At 43.2% G+C, this 22108-nt stretch overlaps 1 long non-coding RNA gene across 1 annotated transcript in view, besides 3 other annotated features; it reads right to left on the bottom strand.

Moving 5' to 3' along the window:
- Window positions 1-3187: 3187 nt before the first annotated feature.
- Window positions 3188-22108, bottom strand: part of LOC124901246 (uncharacterized) — a 35700-nt gene continuing 16779 nt past the window's right edge. Inside the window, exons 3-5 of the long non-coding RNA XR_007059416.1 lie at window positions 11297-11442; window positions 8472-8586; window positions 3188-5729 (exon numbers count right to left, since the gene is read on the bottom strand). This is a non-coding gene — a long non-coding RNA (uncharacterized LOC124901246). The remainder of the gene's footprint in view (window positions 5730-8471; window positions 8587-11296; window positions 11443-22108) is intronic.
- Window positions 5309-5788: a transcriptional cis regulatory region, noted in NCBI's record as "candidate enhancer chr6.285 targeted for multiplex CRISPR interference". NCBI's record gives its function as "positively regulates ECI2 gene expression in K562 cells {active_cell/tissue: K562}" and the evidence as "EXISTENCE:mutant phenotype evidence [ECO:0000015][PMID:30612741]".
- Window positions 12800-13405: an enhancer, noted in NCBI's record as "OCT4-NANOG-H3K27ac hESC enhancer chr6:4169426-4170031 (GRCh37/hg19 assembly coordinates)". NCBI's record gives its function as "activates a minimal SCP1, AML or CMV promoter by ChIP-STARR-seq in primed H9 embryonic stem cells {active_cell/tissue: H9 hESC(primed)}" and the evidence as "EXISTENCE:reporter gene assay evidence [ECO:0000049][PMID:30033119]".
- Window positions 13406-14012: an enhancer, noted in NCBI's record as "OCT4-NANOG-H3K27ac hESC enhancer chr6:4168819-4169425 (GRCh37/hg19 assembly coordinates)". NCBI's record gives its function as "activates a minimal SCP1, AML or CMV promoter by ChIP-STARR-seq in naive and primed H9 embryonic stem cells {active_cell/tissue: H9 hESC(naive and primed)}" and the evidence as "EXISTENCE:reporter gene assay evidence [ECO:0000049][PMID:30033119]".

Below are 22108 nucleotides of genomic sequence, written 5' to 3'. Positions count from 1 at the left end.
ATTTTTATCTAGAAAAAATAATTATTAGTAAGAAAATGACAGATAAGCCAATAGAAAAATGGACAGAAACTTAAATAGGCACTTTTTGAATAAGATATACAAATGACTAGAAACATTTATTATCGTAAGTCATCAAGAGGTTCAAATTAAAATCACAATGAAATACCAGTATGCACCCAATTAGAATGGCTCATATTTTAAAACCAACAATATCAATTACTGGTGAGGATGTGGGGGCCAATGAAACTGCCAGTAGGAGCATAAATTGGTGCAGTTACTTTGGAAAACTGGCAGTATCAACTAAAACTGGAAAAACCCATCCCCTAAGACCCGGAAATCCCCTTTCTATATATCCACCCAAGAGAAATGCACACACATGTACACCAAAAGACATAAACATTAATGTTCATGACAACATTACCTGTACAACAAGAAAGAAAGGCATGAGATCCAGAAAAACAAATACAGCACAGGACAAAGATAAGGGGAATTCCAAGAATTATAGCAAACAGAAATCCCAGGATAAGAGCTGCCCAGGGATCCCAGGAAGCAAGCGGCACAGGAAGGAGAATGGAAGCTTCCAAGGGAGTGCCTTCAGGCAAGAAAAATGGGATTGATGGATTCCCTGATGCAAGTCAGCTCGAGGAAACTTACACCGTGGGCTGTGAGATGTGTGCAAAGAACAAGCAATGAGCACAAACAAAACTAACTAAATAAAGACATGGGCCATTGTTACTTTCAGGAAAAGAAATGAAAAGAAGGAAATGTCACACTCCAACCTTCAGCTGTGAAGATTATTTGTATATGTATATTAATATTCTGAATATTGCCTCCAACAATTTGGAAGGACTATGTTGGGAGGATAGAGAAAGGGATTCGGAGATGGGGACATTGTAAGAAAGCTAAATCTTCATTTGCTACAATAGGAAGTCAGTAGATAATGTCTAAATTTTGGAAATAATTAGATGTGTAAGGGCCAGAGAGACAGATAAAAGAATTGAAAGTGCTTGTCCTTAGAGTGGAAATGTGGAGAGAGTGGGGAAGGGAGAGATGGAAACACTGCATTTTACAAAAGCCTGTTAGAACTATTTGAGTTTTTACAATTCTGTGCTGACATTACTTTGATAAAATAAAAATCAAGTAAGTAAACAATAAGTGAAATGAGAAAAAAGTCTAAAAGAACATAAACCAAAATAGTAACAGTGTCTCCAAGTAATGTGATTATAAGTCATTAGTTTTGTTTCTTTTTTCTCCTCTGATTTTTCTACAATGAACATTTTTAACAATTAAAAGATCCAGTTTATTATTAAGCAGAATATTTTATTTATGTGAGGTCATAATTGTTTTCTGTGAACTCCCGAGGGAACTGTTACAGGTTGCTCAGCAATGAAATCAGAGCTCAGGAAGCTCCAAGTTGGGGTCTGGCAGAAGTGACACTGCTGGGCCAGAACAGGGCAACAAGTGATCCAAGCAATGTCCATAAGGGCAGGCCAGGCGCTCATTTCCGAAGGGGTCAGTGTACAAGTCTGATGGGGAGGCATGGGCACAGAGTGCGGGCGGGCACATGTGGAAGCCAGGCAGAGGCTGGGCACCTAAAAGCCCAGCAGCAGACAATCACGTTTCACATACACAAGAGGCTCTGCCTTTCAGGCTGTAGACGCCCAAGCAGGATCTGGTTTCAGGGAGCTTCGCTTAAGCTGGAAAACCTGCATGTCTGCTTAACTTAGGGGCTTCCATAGCTGCCTGTTCATGTTTGTGCTGCCTGAGCCAACCAATAGGCTGTGACCTATGTCAATCAATCAGAACTCAGCAAGTATTGACCAATCAGAACTCACCAAACATGAACCCGTCAGAACTAAGCAAGTTTGAATCCTTTATTTGACTAAGTGGACCTGAGTGGAACCTGGATGGGATCTTTCACTATAAAAGAAAAATCTTTCCTTTGCTCTCTTACCAGGAGAAACTAGATGGTTAGGCAAGCAACCCATCTGCCCTGAATGAATTCAGAAAAAGCCAACATGGGAAACTGGGGGATCTCTCTAAGGTCCAAACTCTGGGATTCCTGGCAGTGAGAGACTTCGGGGTGACTCAGGGAGCCCAGCCATTGCAACCAAGCCCCTGGGAACTATGCCCAGAGTTGTCAATTCATTATACCCTGTGTTAGTTCCTACAGCTGCTGTAACAAAGTAGCATAAACGAGCATATAAACAACAGCAATTTATTGTCTCACCATTCTGGAGGCTAGAAGTTCAAGATCAAGGTGTCAGAAGAGCCATGCTCCCTCTGAAGGTGCTACAGAAGGATCTGTTGCAGGCACCTCTCCTAGCTTCTGGTAGTTCCTTGGCTTGTGGCAGCATAACTGCAATCTTCACGATTGCTCACTCTCTCTCTCTCTCTGTCTCTCTCTGTCTCTCTGTCTCTCTTTCTCTCTCTCTCCCTCTGTCTCTATCTCTCTTTCTTTCTCTATGTCTGTCTCTCTCTCTCTCCGTCTCTCTCTTTCTCTGTCTCTCTCCCTCTCTCTCTGTCTCTCTTTCTCCCTCTGTGTGTGTGTGTTTCTGTCTGTCTGTCTTCAAGTCCAAATTTCACTTTCTCATAAGAACACCTGTCATATTTGGATTAATGGCCCACCCTATTTCAGTATGACCTTATTTTAACTTTATTAATCACATTAATGAAGTAACCCTATATTTACAGTAACCCTATATTCAGACAAGGTCACATTCTGAGGTCATGGGTGTTAGGTCTTCAATATATAAATTTGGGGAGGTGGGACACAATGCAACCCATAATACAGTCCCAGAGTGATATAGGTATTAGAGTTTGGATTCAGCCTCAAACAGAAGGTGGGGCATACCAGTGGATCCAATTTCAAGGAGCTGAGGAAAACCACGGCAGAATAAAAGAGCAAAGCCATATACCACCCTTCGGTGCATATATGAGAATGAATGAATGTATATAGTATTACCCATTTGACTTCAGGTGTGACATGGAAGTATGGTACAGTAGGATGACACAAAGGAGTTGTCATTAGCATCACTGCTGAGATCATCATCAAAATCACAGCCAACAAGTCCTCAGCACCTACCTAAATGAACTATTTTACATGACTCGACACAGCTAATCCTCAACTTGGACCAGTGGGATGGGTATGACTTTTATCCTGTGAACAAAATTCTCTGAAAGAGAATTTAGAGGAAAGAGACTTTATTCCAGTAACAGTTGGCAAACCGAAGAGACACAGCCTTCAGTGTAAAATGAAGGTACGTTCCAGAGAGCAAAGGGAAGGTTTTTCTTTTATAGTGAAAGATCCCATCCAGGTTCCACTCAGGTCCACTTAGTCAAATAAAGGATTCAAACTTGCTTAGTTCTGACCGGTTGATGTTTGGTGAGTTCTGATTGGTCAACACTTGCTGAGTTCTGATTGGTTGACATAGGTCACAGTCTATTGGTTGGCTCAGGCAGCACAAACATGAACAGGCAGCTATGAAAGCCCCTAAGCAGACATGCAGGTTTTCCAGGAACTCCAAGTATGTGTGCGACCTCTAGTAAGCAAATGGCCACTTGGCTCTTTTGAAATTAGGCTATTAGCCACTCAGGATTCATCCGAGGGATTGGCTCTTTCAAGGTTCACATTCCCCCCACGCCCCCCGTTTATCAAAACCTGTCAGCAGACAGCACTGATGATTGATTAGGTTGGTTGCATCCCATCATCGTGCTAGAGTGGCTGGCAACCTGTTCCAGATTCTTCTAGTCCCGTGCAGAGATCCTTTGACAAGGCAGTGATCAACTGAGCAACTAGAGCCATTTACTTATGAGAGGCACTCAGGCACCTGTTAAATATGAATTAACATCTCTTGGCTTAAGCTGGCTTCCGTTTCCAGCTGGAATGAGTCTAAAGTCTCAAGGTCTTGGGTCAGCACGATCCTGGTGAGGGTCTCATGCAGATATCTGTTAAAGCAGGCTACAATGATTTTAAAGAGGAGCCAAATGCTTAGCCCAAGGAGATTCATTACAATTTGTAGGGCAGAACACAGAAGGAATCCTATACCAGAAGAAGCCGGCTGAAAATATCTGGAAATTGGAATTCTAATCCAGCAAGCCCAGCCAGGAGGCTTTCTGAAGGTGTCCTTTTCAGACAGCCAGCTGTAGGATTTGGCCAACTTTGGATCTCAGATGCTTCTAATTCAACCTGAATGGAAGTATTTACCCAGGTGCAGCAGGAAGTGTTAGTGACAGCATAAACACCACCACATGCAACGAGGAGACCGTCTAATGCAATGTGGTTGTGCAGGATCGCATGGGCAAGGGAATCTGGAAATCTCTGTTGTGCCCTGATGGTACAGGCAGTGGAGTGGGCAATTCTGCGAACCATGCAGGAAAGGTTTCTGATCCTATATTCATTCCAAGCAGGGTCTAGCCCAAACCAGGACCCCAGAATCCCTTCCCATTTAGATCCTTCACTAGAGTTAAGCCTACCAGGTAAATCACATCCTTAGGAGTATCCACAGCTATCATCTTTATAATCTGAGGGGCTATCACCAGCATAGTCATCAATTATTGGTAGAGCTCTTTTGGCCCTGGGATGTAGACTCTACATTCCCTGAGTTAGAGACTTAATAACAGTGACAGGAGCAATGGCTTGACCCAGAAAGCAAATGCCTGTGTTTTCTCAGGACCCGAGGCAGGGGTAGAAAAACTCTTTTTGGCTGACGTAGCTGCAGCCAAAAACACAGCCTGAAGGGGCACGTAATTATCCTGAGAGGTTATGAAAATTCAAGGAGCTGTTTACAGGCAAGAGAGGGTATGTGGTCAAACCAAGTACCTGTCTTAGGTAATGACAGAGTGGTGTGATCCAACCGGCAGATTTGGGGAGCCATAGAGGAGACTCTTAAGCTTTCTTTGGTATATTCTGCAGAGAGAAGTGTTACTAAGTGTTCTGTTTCTATGGGATTTGGCAAGACACAGAGGAGGGGGGTGGTGAGTATTCAGAAGAAGGGGAGGAAATGCAAGGTAGGGTAATAGGAAGGTATTTATGGGATATACCAGTGAGGAGAAAACAAGGATGAACCTCAGGAGCATGAATATGCACCCAATAGGCAACAGCAAGTGGATCAAACAGGAGTACCAAGCAACTGAGCACATTAGGGAAGCTGGTCACTGGGATGATTATAGGATTCCTGTTTCCTCCGATGACTTCGGCAGGGGGAAAGGTGACATATCCAACACTCAGTTAGGTTGCCTGCAGAGGCAAGGATTGGGATTGCTGTACCTAGGCATTATCTTCCCACGAGTAGGAGGAACTGAAAAGCAGAGTTGAGAAAGAAAGGACAAGGAAGAAGTACAGCATGGTGTAAAAAGAGGGGATTATAAAGAGTCCAGCAAGGCAGTGAGTCCCATGGCGTGTCTAAATAGTGGAATATATGGAACTACCCCAGAGTGGCATAAGACACCCAGGAGGCATAAGATTCTCAAAGCTATGATAATTAAAATAATTGCAAAGTAAACATAAGGACTAGGCATGTTAGCTCAAGATAAGAAAGAGGTTATACAGGCCTGCTCTGGTATCTTGGGAGAAAGCAGTCTACCCCAGATGTTGTCTTCTTCTTGTCCTGGTGGCTGTAGTTTGATTAACTTGAGCTTGATATCAGTGACCAGTTGGGCGGTTCACTTGGTAGAAGGATCAAGAGCCTTCTTTTTAAATGAGAAATATGGATCCATGACTCAATGCTCTGTAATTTAGCAGCACATGGGTTGGTTAAAAGTACCTGATAGGGTCCCCTTCCCATGAGGATGGAGGGAATTCTTAACTTGGTGTCTTTTCCATGAATTTCCTTGACAAAGCAGCAAATTTTTAGACTGTAACTGATTATAAATAGCTTTTTTAGAAGGATAAAAGTAAAACCATAATTGTCAGTGGATTACATAAGACTTAGAATGGCCATAGTTAAAGATGCAATTGAGAAAGAAATTTGATTAATTCTGTGACATACAAGTTAATAATAATCAAAATCATGACTGATGGTACATATCATAACAGATCAGAATCTTAGGAATCACATATAATTTTGGAACATATATGAATAATGCATTATACAAATATAACTTAAAAGAAATTAAACACTATTTCTTGTTTGATAATGCTTCCCACATGACTTGCCCAATAAGCCTAATCATTTAATATCTCTACAAGATGAAAAATACATTATTTGATGCTCTCCAGGGACCCTACTGGCAAATCCTAAAGTTAATTTTAGATCAAAAATACTTAATTTAGAATCTTGTTCCTGGGGAAAACCCACCAAATATGTAAAACGGTTCAAAATACTTGATCAAAACAGAATCACAGGTCACTACTAAATAGTAGTTATTCATTTAACCAGAGTGATAATAAAAAGACTTAAAAAGCAATAAAGAATGTTACATGGATATAAAAACTCTAACCTTTAAAAGCTCAGTTTTCTTTTTTTTTTTTTTTTTTTTTTTCCGAGACGGAGTTTCAGAGTTTCATTCTTGTAGCCCAGGCTGGAGTGCAACGGCATGATCTCGGCTCACTGCAACCTCCGCCTCCCAGGTTCAAGCTATTCTCCTGCTGAGCTCAGCCTCCCAAATAGCTGGAACTACAGGCACACGCCACCATGCCCAGCTAATTTTTGTATTTTCAGTAGAGATGGGGTTTTGCCGTATTGGCCAGGCTGGTCTTGAACTCCTGACCTCAGGTGATCCACCCACCTTGGCCTCCTAAAGTGCTGGGATTACAGGCGTGACCCACCATGCCTGGCCAGTTTTCCTTTTTTTTAGAGACAGGGTCTCGATCTGTCACCCAGGCTGGAGTACAGTGGTGTGTTCACTGCAGCCTCAAACTCCTAGGCTGAAGTGATCCTCCTGCCTCAGCCTCCCAAGTAGCTATTAGTTTTCCTAAGTAACCAAAAATTCAATAAAGATAACATGAAACATAAGAAATTATCTTAGTAAACACAGAGTCTTTGTTTTCTAGGTCAGTTACCTAAAAGTAAAGAAAAAACCTCCTGTAGGTTTTTTAGATAAACTGAAAGTTAACCTGGTACTTGAATTTAATCAGACACAGGAAGAGTGTGTCCAGGGTTATGAATGTACTCATATTATAGAGGGATGTAAACAAGAAAACTAGTACCTTGAGCAGGGAAACTCATGGCTTTTAGTGACAGCATGGGAAGTTTCCTGGTTACATGGAACAACTCAAACACATCAAGAAAACCCAACAATACAGAATCAAGTTACACTGAAGGTAACATTGTTTCTCTAGACCTTCAAGGTAAACGTTTCAGCATCAGGCCACAACAGCAGTTAGAACTGGAGAAAAAAGTTACAGTAGCTGAAGAAAAGGTTGAAGAAAAAAGATATTACCCGAGCCAAGCAAAAAGATAGACCTTTTCAAGGTTAGAAAGAAGAGCTGCATTTCTTTTTTTTTTTTTTTTTTTTTTGAGACGGAGTCTTGCTCTGTCGCCCAGGCTGGAGTGCAATGACGCGATCTCGCCTCACTGCAACCTCCACCTCTCAGGTTCAAGCGATTCTCCTTCCTCAGCCTGCTCAGTAGCTGGGATTACAGGCGCCCACCACCACACCCAGCTAATTTTTGTATTTTTAGTAGAGGCGGGGTTTCACTGTGTTGGCCAGGCTGGTCTCGAGCTCCTGACCTCAGGTGATTGGCCTGCCTCAGTCTCCCAAAGTGCTGGGATTACAGGGGTGAGCCACTGCATCCAGCCGAAGAGCTGCATTTCTAACCTGAAACTAGAGAAGTTAGATAGATCTCAGGAAGAAATGTGGCAGAAATAGAAACTGTTGTAGTTCAGAGGGTGGCTGTTAAAAAACAGATTTCAGAATTAAAAAATCAAAACCTCTTGCAATTTTTTTTTTTTTTGAGATGGGGTCTTGCTCTGTCGCCCACGCTGGAGTGCAGTGGCGTGATCTCGGCTCACTGCAACCTGCGCCTCCTGGGTTCAAGCAATTCTCCTGCCTCAGCCTCCTGGTAGCTGGGATTACAGGTGCACACCACCGTGCCCAGCTAATTTTTGTATTTTTGGTAGAGACAGGGTTTCACCACGTTGGTCAGGCTGGTCTAGAACTCCTGACCTCATGATCTGCCCTCCTCGGCCTCCCAAAGTGCTGGGATTACAGGCGTGAGCCACAGCTCCTGGCCTTAATGTATTCATTCTTAACAATTTGGAAAATTCCATGAGACGTTAGACAATTCTAGCCATCATCTCAAGTTAAATTTTCTATTAACCATTTCTACATTACTTGTCTGTTAGGCACATATCATGAAAGCAAGAATCTTAACATTAAATACATGCATATTTTGCTGATAACTCAGAAGATCTTGTTACTTTTATTAAACAAACAGTATTAAACTAGTGTTAGTTGCCAAAAGTTGACTAAAGTCACATGAACTTGAAAAGCATTTGGGCTTATTTACTTAATTTATGAATACTCACATTTATTTAAAAGTCAATGTGGGGCCAGGCCCGGTAGCTCAACAAAAACACACGAACGAACAAACGAAGTCAACTTGGTATTATGTAGACAACATACGAACAGACATGCATACACCTGTATACATAAAAATATATACAGACACAAATAAAGATTGTATGGCTTTAATTTTAAAATTTTAGCCATGTGTCAGGTATAACTTACTTGTTTAAATGGACGGTTGGATTCTAACTATGTCTCTGTAAATGGAACAGGTTAAAATTTATGTCTCACATGGCCAAAGCCCTTACTGAGTTTTAGAGAAAACAGGGTAGCAATTTACATGTCAAATAACTGAGAGAACCTAAGCTTTGTCAAGAAGGAGTTTGAGTGTGTTACAGGAGGATTACAATGGGTGCCAAGATAACCTAAAATTACAGGAATTTATCACAGGATTTTATGAGGAAAAATAAAGATGAGCCTAGACAAAGTTTAGAAATCTTTTCAAAATAATCAGCTGAAGGCCAAAAAAAAATCATATCCTGGAGACCAATTTAGTTATGTGATTTCTAACTTAGTCTCCATTTTCTAACTGTACTGCTGAGCTCAGGGCTGCCAACTCAAGCATTAGCCCCCCACTTCAAGAGAAGGAAATAGGGGCTTGATAGGCCTCTAAGGAGTTCCTTTCCAGGAGGTGCATTGTATGGGAACCGATGGAACACACGAAAAACAATGATTGTCAGTCAGGACCCCCCAGTTGGAGGGATAGAGATTTAGGAACCATCACAGGTTGGTCGGCTCCTGCAACCATCCAGATGAGTTCAGAACTCTGGCAGGGACACTCCAGAGTATCAGGGTTAAGGACAGTGGCTCAATGTCAACTAGAGCTCTATTCCCAGAATGTCCCTGGATCATCCCTTGTCCTGCTTGAGGGTAGAGGGCCAGGGACTTTATCAAGATTTAATTGCAGCCTTCATTTGTATTTGGGGCAATCCTTTTTAAAATGTCTGGAACATCTTCTGAAAACACACTTTTTTTTTTAAATTTTGGTTTTGAAGAATGGGCATGTTTGAGGTGTCCCTTGCTAATTGTTGTAACTGAAGGACCATTAACTTAGCAGCCTTCTCTTGACAGTCTAATGCTCAAGTAGCCCTAGATTCTTTATTCTTTTCTAAAGTTTTGGATAATGAATTGGCCAAAGAGGCTATTTCATAAGGTTACTTTACAGCCCAGTTAAGGTCAAGCTGTTTTACCAGGGTACTGAGAGCTTCAGAAAGACCAGCCCCAAAAAAAAAAAAAAAAAAAAAAAGGAATTAAATAAATGGAATGTTTCATCATTTAAATATTTGATCTCCAAATTTTGTTGGAAAGTCTGTTCAAATTTATCAAAATAATCAAGAATGGTCTCATCCTTTTTTTGTGTAAACGGTGTATGGCTTTTCAGTTTATCTGATGGGGAAAAAATAGGGGAATGGCTTTTAGTAATTTGGTATCCTGTTTCTGTGCCTTATCAAATCCTTGGGCACCGGTCTGCTTAAAGTCCTCAGAGTCTTTCCCATTCAGCAGCTAACAGCTGATCAAGATTGATAAGCCCTAATGATTAGGCTACAATGTTACTCAAATTCAAGGAAGTTAGTCTTCAAGGGACTAGGGAAATGTTTTACTAGGGCCAAAAGTTCTGACATGGACTAAGGAGCGTGGAATTTGCCAATTTCTACTCCCCATTATTTGGGCCTTAAAAGGGGCTGAGTCTGGAGGAAGTGGAAATGTCAGAAGAGAAAAAGAGGAATTCAGAAAGCGTGAAAGAGGAAGGAGGGAGTGAAAGGTAAAGTAGAGGCCTTGTAAAAGATGCAGCAGACAGGCAAGGTGACAGGAGAGGTGAGCTAGCAGAAGAAGGGTCTTAGGTTTTTCTGCAGCTTTAGTTTCAGTCTCCCAAGTGCTAATCTCTTTTTAATTCATTAAGATGTTTGCCTAATTTGGAATTGCTTTCTTTAAGGGAAGCATAGTAGCTCTTGATTTTATTCGAAACTCTAAAAGTACCAACTTGAAAAGGCTTTTCATTATCTCTGGGAAGTTCAGTGTTTTCTTTGTTCTAATTGTGAGCACAGATAGGCAAGTTTTAGAATTTCAAAAGAACCCCATCTTGGCCAACAAAGTTTTTAGATCATCCCAGGTAATTTTTGTCCAGAGACCTAGCCAATTACAACTCTCTGGAACATAATTTTTGCTCATAAAGCCAGTTGGAGTGCCAGAGGGCAGCTGATCATCAGGGAAACACAGAAATCACGGGTTACCCATTGCACTAAGCTGATGAAGGCATCCCTCTAGCGCACCTTAGAGTGTCCTCACAAAACCTGATGGAACAGCTGGGTCTGCAACCTTATGAAGAGGCCACCTCTGCAAACCAGATGGAGAGGCCCCCCTTCCTGGGGAGGTCTCTTTCAGGGTCCAGATGAAGAGGACTGGCTGAGGAGGTTAAATAAAGGCTCTGAGGCTTAGATCAAAAGCATGGGAGAAGTGCGCGGTGGTTCACACCTGTAATCCCAGCACTTTGGGAGGCCAAGGCAGGTGGATCACCTGAGGTCAGGAGTTTGAGACCAGCCTGACCAACATGGCAAAACCCCGTCTCTACTAAAAATACAAAAGTTAGCTGGGCATGGTGGCACACGCCTGTAATCCCAGCTACTTTGGAGGCTGAGGCACAAGAATCACTGGAACCTAGGAGGGAGAGGTTGCAGTGAGCCGAGATCATGCCACTGCACTCCAGCCTGGGCAACAAGAGTGAAACTCCATCTCAAAAAAAAAAAAAAAAAAAAGGCATGGGAGGTCTGAATTCAAGAGGGCTTACCTGAGGCTTCCTGGCATCTCTGAGAAGACAACTGAACTCAAAGGACCCTTGAAGATCCCAATGTGTTGGTTCAGGACAGCATCAGGAGAAGAATCAGTGTTGCTTGAATTCCACTTCTGATTCCAAAGAATGTGAACAAAACTTCTCTGAAAAGGAATGTAGAGGAAAGAGACTTTATTCCAGTAAATTTTTCATACCAAAGAGACACAGCTTTCATGTAAAGTGAAGGTGCAGTCCAGAGAACAATGGGAAATTTGACTTTTATAGAGGAAGTTCTAACCCAGGTTCTCACTAAAGTCCACATATACACATGAAACATTTAAATGTGCTTAGTTATGATTGTTTGACGTTTACTGAGCTCTGGTTGGTTAATGTAGGTCACAGCCTATTGGTTGGTTCAGGCAACAAAAATAGGAACAGGCAACTATGAAAGTCTCAAAGTTATGCAGACATGCAGGTTTTCATGGAACTCAGAACACGTATGTGACCTCTAGTCAGCAAATGGTCACTTGGCTCTTACTGAATTTAGGCCCAGTCACCCAGTCAGGATTCATCTTGAAGGATTGGCCTTTCAAGGTTTGCAATCCGCCTTTTCATAAATGAGGAAACTGAGACTCAGAAAGATTGAGTAGTTTTGTCAATCCACCAGTGATTAATGACATAATACAGGATTGCTGTCTGTCTGTCTGGCTCTAAAGCCTGTGCTCACCACAGCCACTCTGCTTGTGTGGATTCCCATTGAAGTAAATGGCTGCCTGGATCTCTGAAAGAAGAAGCGACATTGAATGGAGGCCGTGCTGGGATTGATTGTGGATGTCTGCCATGGACAGGAATGTGGGAAGTTGGGGTGTGTGTGCTGTGTCTATGCCATGCAGTGGAAAGAGCTCTCGACAAGGACTCCAGAGAGCTTGGCTCTTGACCTGACTTTCAGTTTATGGGCTACAGTTGCCACTCATCTGTGTATCAATGGCCTCACTCACTAAACAAAAAAAATAAGAAGATGATTTCAAATTTCCATTTTGCCCTAAAATTCTATGGCTTTTATATAGCTATTTTATTTATTTATTTATTTAATGAGACAATGTCTCACTGTTGCCCAGGCTGTAGCACAGTGGCACATTCTGGGCTCACTGCAACCTCTTCCCCTCAGGCTCAAGCAATCCTCCTGCCTCAGCCTCCTTATTTCTATGAGTATAGGCACACACCACCGACAAAGCTAATTATTTAAGGTTTTTGTAGAGACAAGGTCTCACTATATTGGCCAGGCTGGTCTTGAACACCTGGGCTCAAGCCATCCTCCTGCCTTGGCTTCCCAGAGCGTGGGGATTACAGGCATGAGACGCACGGCTGGGCCTGTGGCTTTTATAATGAAAATAATTGAATTACTCCTCCTTTCTACTGAGAAACAATGTATAAATGTATTAAATTTACATATAGGTGCATAGCTGTACATAAAAGAAAAAGAGATTTTTATAGAAAAAACAAATATTTCTATCTGAACAGGATTACCTAGAGAAGTTGCAGGATGTCTTTCTCAAAAAATGTTTAAGTTTGTAAGAAAATACCTGTCTGCCTGTTAACAAGAGCCTTCTGGATGACCAGGATTCAGAATCATGTGGATGACCCGTGTTCTTGGGTAAAAGCTCTGGAGCGCTCATCAATAGCCCACGAGCACTTACGAATGAACTCCACCATCATTCATTGTTCAGTTTGGGGATGAGTGAGCCTAGGTGGGAGGCCATTTGCATTCATCCAAACCAGACTGTATTCTTCATTTCACAGGGGTGCTGGAAGGATTAATAACTGTCTGGAAATGTAACATTTGTAAAGTATTTTGTAATCCTTGAAGAAAAGACACTGGATACATGTGAGATCATTGGCAGCCCTGAAATAACAGCATTGTTTTTCCCTCTCTCTTCCAGAAACCTGCCAATAAACTCTCTTTTTTATGTAAATGCTGTCATCCTGCTGTGAAGAAATTTCAAAGAAAAGCCATGGGAACTTCTCCCACCCTTTCCCCCTGTGATTCACCGTTGTTCTCAAAACAACTGTTTTTATGTCTGAAACGTTCAGAGCTTGAGAACTCGAGGCAGAATTTGACTGTATCTTTCCTTTTGGAAGTTGGCACACAGGCTACTCAGCAGGCACCTTCCAGTCCAAAACTCCCCATGAGAAAAGAGCAGGCTGTTTCTTTCCTTGCCCCTCCTACACACTCTGCTCTGCCTTAAGGGCTGCTTCTCCAGACCCCATCTGGGGACAGGCGAATCCAGGCAATGCATGAGTTGAGTGGGTAAGAGGCGGAAATGGGGTTGGGAGACAGCTCTGCCCACTCAGGATCAGCCCCTTATTCAGAGTGGTTAACAGCACATCCTGATGAGATTAGCCCTAATAAACATTAAAAAATACTGCAATCCCACAGTCATTAAAACAATGTGCTATTGGCATGGATCAAAGGATTATGATGTAGAACAGTCAAAACAATTTTATCAAGAAAGAACAAAGTTAGAGGACTCACTCTACTGAATTTAAAGCCTTATTATAAATATGCAATAATCAAGACATTGTAGTTTTTATAGAAAGACAGACAAACTCATGACTAGAACAGAGGATCTCAGAAATAGATTAAGACATATATGGTGAGTTGACTTTGACAATAGTATCAAGGAAATTCAATGGGGAAAGAATAGTCTTTTCAACAAATGGTGCTAGAACAATGAGATAGTCATATGCAAAAGAATCAACCTTTACCTGATACCGTATGCAAAAATTAACTGGAAATGGAGCATGGACCCATTTGTACACCTAAATGTCAGAGTTAAAACTATAAAATTTCTAGAAGAAAACAGAAGAGAAAATCTTACTGACCTTGGTTTTGGCAAACGTTTCTTAAATATGAAACAACAAGCACAAAGTATGAAACAGAAAACAAGTTTGATGTCATCAAAGCTAAAATGTTTGCCCTTCTAAAGGATATGAATATAAAAGTAAAAAAGTAAGACATAGATTGTGAGAAAATATTTACAAAATGTATGCATCAAAAGACTTGTATCTAGATTATATAAAGAGCCCTTACAATTCAATAAGAATTCAAGTAAATCAATAAGAAAAAAATACCCAAAAAATTTGAACATACACCTCAACAAAGTAGATTGACTGATGGCAAATAAACACATTAAAAACATGATCATTATCCAAAGTCATTAGGCAAGTGCATATTAAAACTACAATAAGATGCCACTTTACTCCCACTAGAATGGATAAAAGACTAACCATACTAAGTGCTGGCAAAGACATGGGCAACTAAAGTTCTTATACACTGTTGGTGAGAATGTAAAATGGTACGACCACTTTGAAAGACAGTTTTTTCTTAAAAGATGAAGGATACACATACCATATAACCCAGCCATTCAACCCATGCACAAGTGTACATGAATGTTCATAGCAACTTTATTTGTAATAACAGCCAAAACTGAAAACAACCCAAATGTTCAACAGATGGATGGATAAACACACAGCAGTATAGTATCCATAAATGAATATTACTCAACAATAAAAAGAAATAAATTATTGATACATGTAAAAATATGATGGAATCTCAAAATCATAATGCTGAGTGAAAGAAGCCAAACAAAAGAGGCTACATGCTGTATTATTTCACTTACATAAAATTTCAGAGGCCAGGCACGGTGGCTCATGCCTGTAATCCCAGCATTTTTGAAGGCGGAGACTGGAGGGTCACTTGAGGACAGGAGTTCGAGACCAGTCTAGCCAAAATGGTAAAACCCCATCTCTACTAAAATACAAAAATTAGCCGGACATGGTGGAACACACTTGTAGTCCCAGCTACTCAGGCAGCTGAGGCATGAGAATCACTTGAACCTGGAAGGTTGAGGCTGCCGTGAGCCGAGATTGCGCCACTGCACTCAAGCCGGGTGACACAGTGAGATTCTGTCTCAAAAAAAAAAAAAAAAAAAAAATTAGAAAATGCCAACTCATCTAAAGTGATAGAAAGCTGACCAGTAGTTGCGTGGGGAGGGAAGATTTCCAGGAGGAATGAGGAAACCTTTGGGGGTAATGGATGTGTTCATTATCTTGGTTGTGGTGATGGTTTCACAGGTATTTACAGATATAAACATCACTGAATTGTACAATTTAAATATGTAGTTTATTGTATGTCAATGTCATTCAGTCTTTTAAAATGCTGTCTTGATCCAGTTTTGGGGGGTTTTTTTGTTTTGTTTTGTTTTTTGTTTTTTGTTTTCTTGAGACAGCGCCAGGCTGGAGTGCAGTGGCGCGATCTCGGCTCACCGCAACCTCCGCCTCCCAGGTTCAAGCAATTCTCCTGCCTCAGCCTCCCAAATACCTGGGACTACAGGCATGTGCCACCACGTCGAGCTAATTTTTGTATTTTTAGGAGAGACGGGGTTTCACCAAGTTGTCCAGGATGGTCTCAATGTCTTGACCTCGTGATCTGCCTGCCTCGGCCTCCCAAAGTGCTGGAATTACAGGCGTGAGCCACCGCACCTGGCCCTTGATCCAGTTTTTAGGCCCTAGCTAGAGGCCTGTCATTTCCCTTTCTTGAGCAGCTAATTTAATTCCACACCCCAACCAACTCCCTTAATGGGATCTCACACTCCAGGCCACTATTCCTCTTCCCTAATTAACCCAAGGCTAAGTACCAGACAACCAAGGACAGCCCATATGCCACAGAGCCCTGAAATTATTCCAACTGGTCAATCCTAAGCGTGCCAGCCCTGCCTCGCCTGTTGCTTCCTGCAGAAACCACAATAAGGGTGCTTGCTCACAGCCCCCCTCCCTCTGCCTTCTGACCCACCCCAGTGCTTCCCTCAGGCAGCCCTCCTGTACTCATACAGACCTGTAACACTTTCTGTTTCCTTTCCCATAATCTGTGTCTGGCATCATACCTCATCCAAGGTAGTTTGGTTGAAACAGTCCATTGTACTTCCATGAAGCTGCTTAAAAACAAAGGTACAGTTGACTCTCCCTATCCTTGGGTTGTGCATCCGCAGGTTGTGCATCTGCAGGTTCCACCAACCTCAGATCAAAAATATTCAAAGAATAAAAATAATACAACACTAAAAAATGATGCAGGCTGGGTGTGGTGGCCCACGCCTGTAATCCCAGCAATTTGAGAGGCTGAGGCGGGCAGATCACATGAGGTCAGGAGTTCGAGACTAGCCTTGCCAAAATGCTGAAACTCTATCACTACTGAAAATACAAAAATTAGCCAGGCGTGGTGGCAGGTGCCTGCATTCCCAGCTACTCGGGAGGCTAGGGCAGGAGAATCACTTGAACCCGGGAGGCAGAGGTTGCAGTGAGCCAAAATCGCGCCATTGCACTCCAGACTGGGCAAAAAAGCAAGGCTCAGTCTCAAAAAAAAAGCAAATAGAAAACAATACTTCCATAGCATTTACATTGTATTAAGTATTATAGGTAATCTAGAGGTGAATGCAAGATAAGAGAGGATGGACACAGGTTATCCGCACATGCAACATCATTTTATATCAGGGACTCGAGCATCAGCAGATACTGCTATCCTGAAGGTCCTGGGACCAATCCCCTCTGGATACCCAGGGATGTCTATAAAAAAAACAGGAATGTAAAGATTATATGAATCTACTGCCATCATTTTACAAAGGAGAAGGAAGAGGAACAGAGAAAGCCATCCTCCTGCCCCTGTCATCAATTCATCAGCTGTATAAGTGGGAGAATCTTTTAACTGGAAGTGTCTGAACTTTACTGGATGAGAGGAGGAATGAGTGGGGGAAATGTAAGCTTTGGGGAATAGAAAACATCTCTTTGCAAAGAAAATGACAGCAACAAACCCCAGAACAAATAGAAGAGAACTGGTATGTGAAGAGGTGATCCAGTGGCAAACATCCGTGTATGAATAAATGGCAGTGATGACAGGTGGAGCAGCAGAATCAATACTGAGGCCAGCTAGTGGGAGCCCACACAGACAGCAAGAAGGGAGCCCAGGCAAGCCTGGCAGGGCCCATCCGACCAGAGGAGCCTTTTCCCTTAGGGAAGGCTTGGGCAGCCAGATTGTCTCAGATAATGATGGTCTTGGCAAGCAAAGGACAGCAAATGCGTGGATGTTGAGCAGGGCCACAGGTGACTCGCCACACACCCACCACAGCAGTGGAGACACAGCATGCTCTGTCTGAACCCTCCCACTCCCAGTGGCCATTCAAAACAGTCCCTTTTCTTCTTGTCCCCAACACCCTCATGGTGTCATTTCCCAGAGGCCGTCTTCTCACCTGCAGATTTTGCCCATTGACTTGTGCAGCAGCCCAGCCCTCCCTCGGGGGTGGAAGATGGCAGGGCACACAGGCCTCGGGAAAATTCTGCCCACCTGCCACACAGCACTTTTCAATGGCGGCTCACAGAGGCTGAGCAGCGCTGCTCTGTCCATCTACCCTTTCCTACCTAAACTGCGTTCACTAGACTGTGAGACAGGCCCCGGAGGGTTCCTGCTCATTCCTCCAAAAATCAATGCTTCAAAAACCAATTTACCAAATGACCAAATTCACCAAAGGACTGAGTCATTAAAAGCCGATTTGCTGAGTTGTTGACTGGGACTCACAATTACCGATTGGGACTCAGCAGGCCAAGGCCAGAGGCTACTCACACGGTTGGTGCCAAAGCCACAAAGTAATAAACAGAGATTTGGCCTTGGGCATCCACTCATTCATTCTCCCTGGATAACTCTGCTAAAGGCCTGTGGATTGAGTTGGCTTCTGGTCCAAGGATTTGGGGACCCTGGGTCCCCACTGTTGCTGTCTCAGCCTCTTGCCCAGGAGCAGTGTCTCCCGAATGCCTCTGATGTCATTTGTAGCAGCCCCACTGGTTTCTGGGTTGGAGGTCCAGGCTGCTCATAACCGAGGGTGAGCAGGCACAAAGCCTCCGATTGCACTCTAACCTGCAGAGATGCAGGCAGTCACCTGCTATTCTTGATAGATAAACCCAGGACACATAGGGTTATCCACTGCAATGAAGGCAGCTTCTCCAGCTGCCTCTGGCCTTTTATGCACCTGCACCCTCTACACTCCAGTCTCAATATTGCAAGAGATAAGCCTGTCTATAATTTAAGTAATAATGTTGAAAGATGCCCTTATCTGTACTGGAAACATGTTCTATAGATTTTCTCGCGGCCTGCTTGGAACTGTCCCTTTCCCTTGGAAATTAGAAGGGATTTTGTCACTTGGAGCCATCATGTCTAGATTTCACCAGTATAGAACTATCAGGCTTCCTGCAGCCAGTGCTAATGGAGACCGATTTTCTTTCAACGCGATGCAGGCTGCAGACCCTTGGTGAGGATGAGCTCACACTGTCTGTCCCAGCTCCTTTAAGGCTTCTGCGGAGACTTTTGGAATCTGTTTTACTGCCTTTTTTCATGGTGATCATTCATTATTCAGCCTTTCAGCATTATTCAGCTTTTTATAACCTATTCTAGCACCAGCGTTTCATTAATTCCAGGATTGATTCCATTTGAGAGACACCCAGGCTGTTTCAGCTGCCTCTGTTTCCCTCCAGCTGCTGTCTTCCAGCCTTGCTGCTCAGTGCTGCTGAGGGCCATCACCCAGGAGGAGACCTCCCTGCTTTCCTGTAGCAGGCCCCTGGTTTCTGGGTTGGAGGTCAAGGCTGCTGACAACCAAGGGGTGAATGAGCACAAAGCCTGCATTTGCGCTCTAGCCCGAGAAGAGTCCAGCCTGGGCTCCTCCCACCTCAGAAAAGGGAGAGCTGACTCTATATTTAAAAGGCATGTCATCAAAAATAACTTGTCTCTGCTCTCGCCTCCAAATTTCTTACAGCAGGAAAAGAATGAACTTGGCCGTGTACTGGAATCAGATAAGACTGCCCGAAACTTAAAAGTGTTGAGGAAAATAGAGGGCAAGTTGCTGGGTCAGTTATCTCTGTTATTCCTCATTTTATCCATTAAGGTGCTTTTCCAGAAAACCTTTCCAAGCAGTAAGGAACCTTTTAATGTTTTCCTACAACAGACTGAAAAGGAACAGGGGTGTCAATGGCCACATGCTTCCATCTGGGTGAATGTCACCGCTGAAAACCTGTCGGCCTGGCACTTTGAGATGAGTGTCTTGAAGACCTGCTGTTTCCCTGACCCTGGTAGTGTCCCTGAGAGGCTTGGAGCGGGACGGCAAAGTTCAAGGACAACTAGCATTGATATTGGTATTGAAATTAGACAGGGCGTCATTCCCACCATCAGGACTGGGACCGCTGCCTTTGTTGAACTTTGTCACTAACTAGGACTCGGGGCTGAGCTCTAGCTTTGAGAGTAGGTGCTCTTTCCGGGATGCCCGGGGAAAAAATATCAAAACATTGACTAATCTAAGCCTCATTTTTCCCAGACCATGCCCATCTTGGGACAATCAAGGACTTGGATGACAATCCCACTAGGGTTTGTCGCCAGCAGCCACCTAGACACCCCCATCCCTTGCCTTATACTTACCCACAGTTGGGAACCTGAAATGTTTCTCCTTTCAGCTATTTTTGCATTTCACTTTTCAGAAGTTTTATTATCATTCCTTCTGCCCAGGGCCTGGTGGGCCTCTGCTGTCCTAAAAGTCAAGAATTCCTTCAAATACTAAAAGTCAAGAAGAATTTTTTTAAATCCTAAAAGCCAAGAAGAATTCCTTTAAATCATTACAGGCTTTCCAGCCAATGAGTGCCATCTGGCTGGTCTTTGAGTAACTCCTTCGCTTGATTGAGCCCTCTTGTGGCTCAGGGGGCCCTTCAAGTTTTCAGCTTGGACACAAAAAGGTAAAACACACTTCAGAGAGTAGTCATATACAGTTGGCTCTCTGTAGGTTCCACAACCATAGATTCAACCAAACACAGTTAGAAAATATGCAGAAAAAAAATGTTTTCACAAAGTACCAAAAAGCAAAACTTGAATTTGCTGCATGCCGAGTACTCCATTGAATCCACATGAATGAAGTAATGTGTAGGGATTGTATTCAGTATTACAAATAAGCTAGAAAGGATTTTAAATACGTGGGAGAATTACATGGGTTATATGCAAATACTATGCCATTTTTTATCAGAGACTTGAGCATCCACAGATTTTGGTATCTATGAGGTGGTCCTGGAACCAATCCCCAATGGATACCAAGGGATGGCTGTACTAGGAAAAGTGTAAGCAGGTCATTAACGGCTATGCCAGGAAATAGGTCGACGCTAAGAACTGAGTTAATAGCAGACAGCTCTGATCTGAAGGAGGCCGACGTACTAATCCAAGGCCAAGGGCAGGCTGAGAACAGAGGTGACAGGGCTCAAGAAGGTGGAAGGGCAGAGAAGGAGGTTCCTACTGGGTGGCCAGTGCGTGGACTGAAGGAAAGGCACAGGCGTCTGACCCAGCATCTAATAGCCCATCCTCTGGTGGTCTTTAAGTGATCTAGCCTGCATGATTACTGCCTCCAATATTCTTAATATTCTCAATATGCTCTCATAGTTCAGATTTCTAAATTCATCTGCTTAGAAACCTCAAGCATTGTTCCTTAAAACAATTCCTCTGTAATGCAGCCTAGTTTTCTAAGCAAGGGAGCTTGTCCTCCAGCACTTACTGACTCGTGGCAATTGATGCCCCAGAGATGAGGACACTACATTTATCTAAATTTTTTTTGGTTATGGATGACAGAAACCCCACAAAGAATAGCTTAAGCTATTTCTTAGGAATTTAGTTATTTACTATAAATTCTTTATTAAATAATTATGAGTTTGCCGGGTGTGGTAGCTCACACCTGTAATCCCAGCACTTTGGGAGACTGGTGCCAGGAGTTTGAGATGTGCCTGGACAACCTGATGAAACCCCGTCTCTACTAAAATTACAAAAATTAGCCAGGTGTGGTGGCGCATGCCTGTAATCCCAACTACTCGGGAGGCTAAGGCACAAGAAACATTTCAACCTAGCAGGTGGAGGTTGCAGTGAGCCAAGATTGCGCCACTGTACTCCAGCCTGGGCAACAGGATGAGACTTTCTCTCAAAAAAGAAAAAAAAATTATTGGAAGGTATTAGAATGCATTGTGGGATCCAGGGAAGGGTAGACTGGCAAGTTGTGAGAAAAATGGGGATGTGTTTGGGTCTCAGGGATAACTGGAGTCAGGGTCTAGATCCCCCCAGGACTCCTCATCTCTATCTGTGACTCTCTTCAGAGGCCTGCACTCTCCCTCTCTGTGGGACAGCTTTCTCCAAAGGCGAGAAACATGAAGGCCAACTCGTGAATCTCACATTTTATTGCTCTTACTGCCAGAAAGAAACTCTCTGTTTGACTAATAATTCAAAGCATTCTGGGGGAAGATTCTCCAGGCTCAGTGTGGCAGTGTGCCAACCTGAACGCTCACTTTTGGCCACTTAGCCCACCCATAACACCAGTTAGCTGTGGGGGCAGGGGAGAGCATGCCATGGATGCGGCAGCTCCCAGGAGCGCCATGGAGTAGAAGCACAACGCGTGTTCCCAGGAGAAGCAGAGAAGCTGGGTGTCTCGTAACACAGCTGTCCAGAACCTTCAGAAAATCCTTCTTCACCTGGATAATGCCCATTTCCCCCAAGGCTCTTCTCAGGTAACACCTCCAGAAAACTTTCTCTGACCCCAGTGGATCAGGTACCCTACCTATATGCCCCAAGCACCCAGCACAGGCACCTATCTCTAGCCTTTATTTTTGATCCCCCTCCTCACCTGTGCCGTCCTGGAGAAAGCAACTGTGGCTGTGCATCTTGGCATTTCTAAGACGTAATCCAGTGCCTGTCCCATGACATGCTTTCAATTAACA

This window comes from Homo sapiens, chromosome 6 (assembly GCF_000001405.40).
Source record: "Homo sapiens chromosome 6, GRCh38.p14 Primary Assembly".
Classification (NCBI taxonomy): domain Eukaryota; kingdom Metazoa; phylum Chordata; class Mammalia; order Primates; family Hominidae; genus Homo; species Homo sapiens.
The sequence above is the reverse complement of the archived record's forward strand: the minus strand, read 5'-3'. Positions and strand labels throughout refer to the sequence as shown.